General features: G+C 43.2%; 1 protein-coding gene across 7 annotated transcripts in view, besides 2 other annotated features; it reads left to right on the top strand.

Moving 5' to 3' along the window:
• TSC22D1 (TSC22 domain family member 1) overlaps positions 1-4,807 on the top strand; it is a 145,202-nt gene extending 140,395 nt beyond the window's left edge. For 5 of the 7 annotated variants that reach the window (XM_047430716.1, XM_047430715.1, NM_183422.4 and 2 more), the window contains 2 exons: positions 855-906; positions 2,067-4,807. In XM_047430716.1, coding sequence (XP_047286672.1) covers positions 855-906; positions 2,067-2,324 — 310 coding nt within the window. In that variant the 3' untranslated portion in view covers positions 2,325-4,807. Of the gene's footprint in view, positions 1-91; positions 447-854; positions 907-2,066 lie in introns of those variants that run through there. The other 2 variants (NM_006022.4, NM_001243799.1) reach the window with 2 other exon arrangements.
• Positions 1,103-2,302: an enhancer, noted in NCBI's record as "MED14-independent group 3 enhancer chr13:45008784-45009983 (GRCh37/hg19 assembly coordinates)". NCBI's record gives its function as "activates an origin of replication core promoter dependent on BRD2, BRD4, P300/CBP and CDK7 cofactors, and independent of MED14, by STARR-seq in HCT116 cells {active_cell/tissue: HCT116}" and the evidence as "EXISTENCE:reporter gene assay evidence [ECO:0000049][PMID:35650434]".
• Positions 1,676-1,785: a silencer, noted in NCBI's record as "silent region_5305". NCBI's record gives its function as "represses an Ori minimal core promoter by ATAC-STARR-seq in GM12878 lymphoblastoid cells {active_cell/tissue: GM12878}" and the evidence as "EXISTENCE:reporter gene assay evidence [ECO:0000049][PMID:35858748]".

The following is a 9,404-nucleotide window of genomic DNA, read 5'->3' as shown; positions in this document are numbered from 1 at the left end:
TGGAAGGGAGTAGGGGGCGGTCCCAGTGGCGTGCCGGCCAATCGGCGCAGCTCTTTCCTGCATATATTTTGCACTAAGACTGGGAGTCCTGGTCTAGAGCTGAGTGGAGCCCGGCTGCGGATCTGGGAAGCGCCTCTTCACGGCACTGGGATCCGCATCTGCCTGGGATCATCAAGCCCTAGAAGCTGGGTTTCTTTAAATTAGGGCTGCCGTTTTCTGTTTCTCCCTGGGCTGCGGAAAGCCAGAAGATTTTATCTAGCTTATACAAGGCTGCTGGTGTTCCCTCTTTTTTTCCACGAGGGTGTTTTTGGCTGCAATTGCATGAAATCCCAATGGTGTAGACCAGTGGCGATGGATCTAGGAGTTTACCAACTGAGACATTTTTCAATTTCTTTCTTGTCATCCTTGCTGGGGACTGAAAACGCTTCTGTGAGACTTGATAATAGGTAAATGTCGGCTAAGATAGTTTCTTTAAATTTATTCGTGGGATACTTATAATAATACAGGTGAAAGATAGCCAGGCGAATTCCTTTGTCCATTGCTGAGAGATTATGGTGACATGGATGTTGTTTTTCGAAATGTTAAAAAACCTTATTTTTGCAAGTCTGGCCAGAGAACAGGCTTTCCCCACATTATGTAATTTAGTCCTTTGTGGCTTACTAAAATAGGGAGATGCCTGGATATTCGTTAGTAAGAGAGGGGCTGGCATTTTCTGGAGGGTGATACATTACATAGTGTTAAATAACATTCAAAATATGATGCTAGCAATATCACAAAATTGGGAGATCCTTTTTATCTTGGAAGCTTAAGATAAATTCCATTTATCGATGACCTTTTTCCCTCCTCTTTTTCAGCTCCTCTGGTGCAAGTGTGGTAGCTATTGACAACAAAATCGAGCAAGCTATGGTATGTACTGATGAAAAATCATTTATACTAAATGTGGGCACAGCACAAAAATAAGATGTTTTGTGGAACCAGTGCATCCCTAAGTTCAGATGATGATGATTGCTCTTGATGCGCGTAGAAATGCCGGCGCTGTCTCCATTCGGCCAGCGTGGAGCCACCTACCACGGCAGCCGTGGAGGGAGAAAGGGGCCCTGCGGGTATTAAATGGTCTTCTTCCCCGGACTGGTTTCACACGACGGGATTTTCTCACGGTGACCCTTTTTGCTGGGGATTTATTAGGGAAGCGCTGGCCAACTATCTCCTTCGGCTGGTCGTGAGCACACCTTTAGCGATGTGGCTTTACTAGGAATCCTAATATTTTACTAGGGAGCCGGGAGGTGGGGAGGGCCCCAGAAGTCGGGATCCTGGATAAGGGTCTTCTAGACGGTGCACAAACGGGTCCCCGGTGGCGCGGGCTCCTTCACAATGAAGAAGAATCAGAGAAAAAGTTTTGTTTTCTTAGCCTGCGCCTGGATTTCTCCTATTTTTTATTTCCGCCTTGGCCGTTCTTTGTTATTGGAGCAGCGCCTGTGGCTCTTCTCACGGGATTCTCTGCCCACTGTTGCTAGGCAAACTCTGAACCTTTAATTCGGAGCTATAAATAACTCGGGCTCCCATTGGCTGCGACGTCTGCCCAGGTTTCTGTGATGTCAGCTTAATCACGAAAAGAGGGGGGCGGGGTGGAGGGAAGAAAATGCGGCAACATGTTCGGTAGGAACTGGCTGCAGCCGGTGCTGAAGGAGGCGGCTCCGGGCGAGCGCGGGGCGGGGCCTGGGGGCGGGGACGCGGTGGGCGCGCTGTGGCTTGGACGTCCCCGCTGCTGGTCTCAGTCGGGGACCCAGCGCCCGGCTCTGGCCCAGTCTCAGGAAGCCTTACTTGGGCGTTTCTGGCCAACGTCTGCAGAGAAGCACAGACTTTTACAAAGCTTGATCATTTATACGTTAAACTCAAGTATTGTACAGTCATGTTTGTATTCAGATTTCCCCAAGTGTCATTGAACCAACTTTAAAGGTGGAATATGTAAATAGTTAGGGAGATCCATGTAAAATAATGTCTTGGAAACTCAAAAGAGTCCAGAAAATACCAAATAATGAGTTAAACCTTTTCTGTCTTCTTTCCAGGATCTAGTGAAAAGCCATTTGATGTATGCGGTCAGAGAAGAAGTGGAGGTCCTCAAAGAGCAAATCAAAGAACTAATAGAGAAAAATTCCCAGCTGGAGCAGGAGAACAATCTGCTGAAGACACTGGCCAGTCCTGAGCAGCTTGCCCAGTTTCAGGCCCAGCTGCAGACTGGCTCCCCCCCTGCCACCACCCAGCCACAGGGCACCACACAGCCCCCCGCCCAGCCAGCATCGCAGGGCTCAGGACCAACCGCATAGCTGCCTATGCCCCCGCAGAACTGGCTGCTGCGTGTGAACTGAACAGACGGAGAAGATGTGCTAGGGAGAATCTGCCTCCACAGTCACCCATTTCATTGCTCGCTGCGAAAGAGACGTGAGACTGACATATGCCATTATCTCTTTTCCAGTATTAAACACTCATATGCTTATGGCTTGGAGAAATTTCTTAGTTGGGTGAATTAAAGGTTAATCCGAGAATTAGCATGGATATACCGGGACCTCATGCAGCTTGGCAGATATCTGAGAAATGGTTTAATTCATGCTCAGGAGCTGTGTGCCTTTCCATCCCTTCCGGCTCCCTACCCCTCACTTCCAAGGGTTCTCTCTCCTGCTTGCGCTTAGTGTCCTACATGGGGTTGTGAAGCGATGGAGCTCCTCACTGGACTCGCCTCTCTCCTCTCCTCCCCCCAGGAGGAACTTGAAAGGAGGGTAAAAAGACTAAAATGAGGGGGAACAGAGTTCACTGTACAAATTTGACAACTGTCACCAAAATTCATAAAAAACAATAGTACTGTGCCTCTTTCTTCTCAAACAATGGATGACACAAAACTATGAGAGTGACAAAATGGTGACAGGTAGCTGGGACCTAGGCTATCTTACCATGAAGGTTGTTTTGCTTATTGTATATTTGTGTATGTAGTGTAACTATTTTGTACAATAGAGGACTGTAACTACTATTTAGGTTGTACAGATTGAAATTTAGTTGTTTCATTGGCTGTCTGAGGAGGTGTGGACTTTTATATATAGATCTACATAAAAACTGCTACATGACAAAAACCACACCTAAAGAAATTTTAAGAATTTGGCACAGTTACTCACTTTGTGTAATCTGAAATCTAGCTGCTGAATACGCTGAAGTAAATCCTTGTTCACTGAAGTCTTTCAATTGAGCTGGTTGAATACTTTGAAAAATGCTCAGTTCTAACTAATGAAATGGATTTCCCAGTAGGGGTTTCTGCATATCACCTGTATAGTAGTTATATGCATATGTTTCTGTGCATGTTCTCTACACAATTGTAAGGTGTCACTGTATTTAACTGTTGCACTTGTCAACTTTCAATAAAGCATATAAATGTTGATAAACAAGTGTTTTTCATATGACCCTGTTAACATAATGGCAGTCATTTCCACAACTGTTTCCAGGTAAAGTTAACAATTTGACTAGTAAAATCCTGAAGGGCAGTGGAATGATTGGAAAAGTAGGGGCGTGATTTGACTGCATGAAGTAAAAGGAAATTGACACATTGAGTTGTTCAGCAGGTAAGAGAAGAGACAGTGGAGGAGTCCAGCTCAATTCTAACTACTGTGTGACTTGGACAGGTTGCTTCACTCCTGGACGGATGTAGGGGTTTGAAAGAGATGATCTCTTACATTCCCCTTTGGCTTTAAAATTCTAGGAGTCCTTGAAAATCTTAATTTTTTACTGAACTGAGAGGAAGAAGGAGCCTTATTCTGTGTATAATTGGAATAAGCAGATCTAGGATCAAAAGACGGAAGTTGGAGAAGCTGATTTCCACTTTAAGAACCCTGTCACCCTGGGTTGGGATGTTTCTCCTAGTGTAGGATGAGTTTCTAGCTCCTGGGATAATTCGTTTTGTCTAAGCAAAAGATGATTTGAGGTGGGACCAGATGAGCAAGGATGTCCTTGCAGTTGATTCTGCATGACTATAAAACAGGCCAAAATTAAAACCACGAAGGAATCCTGAGGCAGATTGGCCCCTGGCACCTGAGGAGTGAGCCTGAGGGATCCCACTCTGCAGTAGGAGTAACGTGAGCGAGCAAGTGAATGGGGTGGGTTTACCGGCTCTGTAATCTATCAACCTAGGGCCTCAGCAGTGGCCCCCTGCCCAGTAGGAATTGGACCAATCCCAAGTTCTAAGGCTTGTCTTAAGTCCTTGCAGAACAAGGACAAACTTTCTGAATCATTCATTTCTCTCATCTAGAGCTGGTGGGAGATTGAGAGGTGAATGGGACATCCAAGATCCCTAAAAAGAATTGTTCGATAGCGTGCATGTGTTATAAAGTGGTGACACGGGCATCCTGTTGAAATGATGGATGGCTCACTGCCATAGGCTGATAGCAGTTGTCATAAAGATATTTTGGGGGAATTTGAAAAGGACGTAAAGAAAAATCTTTCATATTGGCTTGTTGGTTATATAACTTCAAATTTAATAAAGGAATACTTACGTAGTAATTACATTTCCTTGAAAAAACTATAGTGAATAGAAATCCCTAGCCATTTCATTTTTTATGTTTTTAATGAAGATCTTTAAAATACCATAGGTGGTAATCGTGGAAAATTTGAAAAATCTCATGTCAGTGTATTAAGATGGTGGAGAAGTTTTTTTCTCCATTATTTAATGGAACTTTGGGTCTTTTTATTAAAAATGTGAGACTCATGAAATTTTGGCAGCTGAATATTTGTGAAATAAGAATGAATTATTAAAAGATGTCTTTCCATACATGTTCCTCATTTTAGTAATTACTAAACATACTTGAGATGATTGACTTATATTTAAACATATTTAAGGTAATTTAAAAAGGCATTTTGCTACTTGCTTATAGACCTGAGTGTAGGTCTTATTGGCCTGTGGGTTATTATATAACTGATTATGTTGCACTTATGTTCTGTGGAGAAGGAAAGATTTTTAAGGGGAATGGCATGCTGTACCAGCACTGAGTGTTCATGACATCAGTTGCAGCAGGAGAAACCCCCGTTCAATGAAGGAGAAGTAGGAATTTTACATGGATTTGAATGAACGTCTACTTTGTATTTCAAATGAACAGTGTTCATATTTCAGTAATTGTGTGCATTTTTTGCATACTTTAAAAGAGAACTTTTATTTTTCATTATGGAATAAATATGCAATGCCAGAACAGCTTTAAATTTATACAAGAAATGTATAAAAGTTAATTATAACTAAAATTAGGAATGAAAATTAATCTATATAGACACTACTCTGCTCTTGCTTTGTGTAAAATAAGTAGTTGAAACTACCAGGGGCTGACAACATGACTGCTTTTAGATGTCAACTTCAAATCCATTCAGGCAGCAATTGTGGCATTACGATTTTTAGAAATGGAGGCAGAGAAAATCAAGTTTCCTCTCCCTCTTAGGTAACATTGCCTGCAAGTGGAGATCTGTGCCCACCGATAGAACTTGGAAGCAGACAGTGCCATAGGTTCCTGCACTGGTGTGTGGGAGGACCCTGAGCTGAGAGGCAGGCTTCTGGCTGCTAGGCCTGGCCCTGCAGTCATCAGCTGTTTGACCTTTGGACCAGGAATGGAATCCTTCAGACCTGAGTTCTCACCTGTGAAATAAGGATTGGATCAGGTCACAAAGATCCTGTCTTGCCACAGATGCTACAGTCCTCTGCATCTGATAATGACTTTATTTTATTCTTCGAACTTTTGGTGGGAGGGTGTGTGTGTGTGTGTGTGCGTGCACTGTTTTTGTTTATTCATTTAACTTAATGGCTAAAATTAATTTGGTTTTAATCCTAGCTCCTCTGCTAGTTACTAGCTAAGTGACCTCAGGCAAGTTCCTTGTTGTTCTCTGTTTCCTCATGCTTAAAATGGGGACATGCTATCTCCATAGGGGTTTTGGGAGGCTGATGCTGGGAAGCTGTCAGCACAGAGACAGTTCAGAGTGAGGTGGGTTCAAGGAGTGTTAACCATTACTATTATTTCTGAGTCATTCATCTGCTTGTTTATGTTTGTTTATATATTTAATTTTGTATTTTTCATAGGGATAAAGGTGTGGCAGCTTTATTTTCTAATAGCTTTTGATTTAGTATTTGGTAATAGTAGTGACTGTTTAAACTTTACTGTGAAAACACACATGGGAATAATGTCCTTTAGAATACAGATAGAAACACACCGTTTTTTTCTGTATCAAAGAAATAATAGCAAAAGGCTGCATTTCATTTCTGTGAATTAGAGAAGGGATTCGTTGGGAATTGTCCATGTTTCAGTGTCCAATATTTTCGGTACTACAGAAATAATATTGGTGGAAGGAAATGATTACAGGTGGAGTATATATATATCTTAAATTATTAATTTCATTACAGAAAAAGGTTCTATGTAAACCAGTGCTATGGAATGCCAGGCAGGCCTGAAGTCGCTAGGCTTGGAGATCAGGTTCTGGCAACAGCTACTTGGAAGGTTCAGTAGCCATTTAAAAATGTGCAGTATTACAACAGAGGTCTGTGCTTTAGACCAGGTGTTCAGGACCCCAGTGTCTGTCGGATATGGTGGAGAAGCTTCTTGAGTGAGTAGGGTAAGCAGTAGGACATGGTAGTGACTGTGGCAGTTGGGGAGTGTGCTCAGCTAACAGGGACAGTGCTATGTAGCTCCATCCAGTTGCCATATGGGAATTCAAGCACTGTGTTGCTTGATCTTCCAATTTCTTCCAAGTTCCATAAATCCAGGATTCTGTCTGGAAATGCCTGACTTTTGGACACTGCACAGACCAAATAAGAGAGCACACCTACTAAGCTGGTTTGGCCCACAGGCCACATGTGTCCCCTCCGCCTTCTGTCGTCTGACTGTCTCAAGAACTAGAATCTGCCCTAAATGGCAGCTCACCACCCTTCAGCTCAAAATAAATCAGGAAAATCTCTTCTTTTTGATGAGAGAAAGGGGGCACAGGCTATTTGTGTGACTATGGTGCACAGTAAACTGGTACTTTGTGTTGAAAACCATGTGTTAACTTACTCAGAGAACATTTACTGAGTACCTGCTAGAAGCCAGAGATAGTGTAGTGAATGAGCCACAGTCCCTGTCCCCAAGGACAGTTCACATAAGCTGTCTTTAAGATAAATGAGGTAGTTTGTTTTCTGGCAAAATTTGCCTTATGCAATATAATATCTGAATTATTCATTTGTTGTTCCTTCTCAGACGAACCCTTTGGCAGAAATATTTCTGGGAATTCTTCTAGGAACTCTTGTTAAATGAGTAGTGTTTTTCAATGCGGTATATCCCCTACCACTACATTTTATAGCTGATTCATTTAGGAACAAAGACCATGTTTGTAGATGTGTATCACCAAGGTTATATAACACATGACCCAAATTTTCAGGGACACATATATTTCAGTTACAATAATCTGCCCTGTTGTCTCATAAGTGCATCCAATTCATGCCCTGATAAGTGGTTTGTAGTCACTGTAGATTCAGAGACCAAGAAAACAGAAGAGGTAGTGTCTCTACTTAAACAGTGAGACTTAGTGTCTCTACTTAAACTGGTTTTCCCAGGACTGAGGGTGTTCTGAGTAGTGGAACTTTCAATGTCACATCCATGAAAGTCCCAGGCAAACTGCGACAAGCTGGTTGCCTAAGATTCCATTTTCTATTCCACTTGGGCACACGCCTGAATTACATCTCCCCGCCCCCTTGGAGTTAGGAGTGACCGTGGGACTCAGGTTTAGTCAGTGGATGAGTGATGAAGTAACTGAAGCCCCCCAGGCTTGGCCCATGAGAAAACCATTCTCAGTGATCTGCCAGGCTCCTTCTCCTTCCACTGATGGGATGGAGAAGACCCGGCAACCTTGGGAGTGACAGAGCCTTTGTCAGCTGGATCCCTGAATGACCGAAGTATAGTGCCCTCCCCCACGAACCAGGCAGCATATTTGGATGAGCAAGAGTGTTGCCGCCATTAGGCATTTTAAAATTAGCTTCAGTGGCTAACCTTTGCTAATATGGTTATCAGTACCTGAAGTGGAGTGATGTCAAAAAAACCTTAAATATGGGGCATTGACTATGGTTGGCTGGTGGTGGGTGGTGATGAAACTAGTGGAGGCTAGAGAGATCAAGACCCATATTGTGAAGTGACAAAATGTTTTCTAAAACTGTGGCCAGCAATAACTTAGAAGGCTGGCCATGTGCCTGGTGTGCACGTAGCTGGTACAAGAATGTTAGGACCTTTCACTCTTCACTGTGTTACTCCTCTGATGTTTTTCAGGGAAAAGGTGAGCTCACAAAAGAATTAGTTTGTAAGTACAAAGGAAAGGGAAAAAGAAATGCAGAAATTTGGGGCTATTTGATACTGGAAAAGCCTATTGCTTCTACACCCCAAGGAGCTGGAAATCAGTAGGGCCCATTAAGCCTTTTCAGTTAAGGTGCTTTATCCCTTCAGCAAAGAGTAGACAAAGGGTATTAATTCCCCATATATGCCTTTTGTTTCAGATGACTTCTGCATGGTCACTGTCCAGTGGATAGAGGTAGGGGAGCAGAAGTACAGGCATGTGCAGAAGAATGTTTTAGGTCTTGCTACTGATAACATTAAAATGACTGGAAACAGAGAAGGGAGAAGCTTACTAAGTTTTTGAAGAACATTTACTACCAAGTAAATCACCAGCCAACCCAGACTTAATAACAGCAAGAAAACTTTGTTGAAACCTTCAAACAACCCTCAGGCCCCCCCAACACTGGCAGGAGATGGAAGTGGGTGAAGTGGGAGCCTAAAGCTGTCTAGCTCCCAGGAAGAGCATTATCTCCAACATCCATTTCATACATGGCCCTGGGGGATACTGGACAAGAAAAGCCTCCCAGAGGTAAGAGGCCTGCAGTTTTAGAGAACAATGCACCAAGGGTTTCTTCCCAGAGAATAGAATCATGGTCTAATGGGAGAGCTTCCCCTATTGCCAGGGCAAAGGGATCTTCTCAATGCCTGCCCAACAGGATTTCCTAATAGCTGAGGGCTGGAGCCTACTGTGTGTTTCCTATGCTTCCAATGGGAGGTTTATTGCAATTATTATGCTGCACTCCACCATTGTGCATTGTCAGTGGAAGGGAAGATAATTTGTCTTAGATTACAGATCACCAGACCTTAAGGAGCCACCACATTCAGACCTGTGCCTCATCTACAGATTTGGAGTTTTGAGCTGGATATAGTAGCTCAATGGGACTTTGGGTTATTGCCCCTGGAGAGGGTGAGTGTGTTCTGTGAGGGCAAGAAGATGAAACATACGTTAGAATCCATTGGCAAAAATTGGTAGGTGTTTTCCAAAAAGCCTCCTCTCTTCCTGGTTACACAGACTGCATTTCCCAGGTTCTCTTG

This window comes from Homo sapiens, chromosome 13 (genome assembly GCF_000001405.40).
Source record: "Homo sapiens chromosome 13, GRCh38.p14 Primary Assembly".
Taxonomy (NCBI): domain Eukaryota; kingdom Metazoa; phylum Chordata; class Mammalia; order Primates; family Hominidae; genus Homo; species Homo sapiens.
The sequence above is the reverse complement of the archived record's forward strand: the minus strand, read 5'-3'. Positions and strand labels throughout refer to the sequence as shown.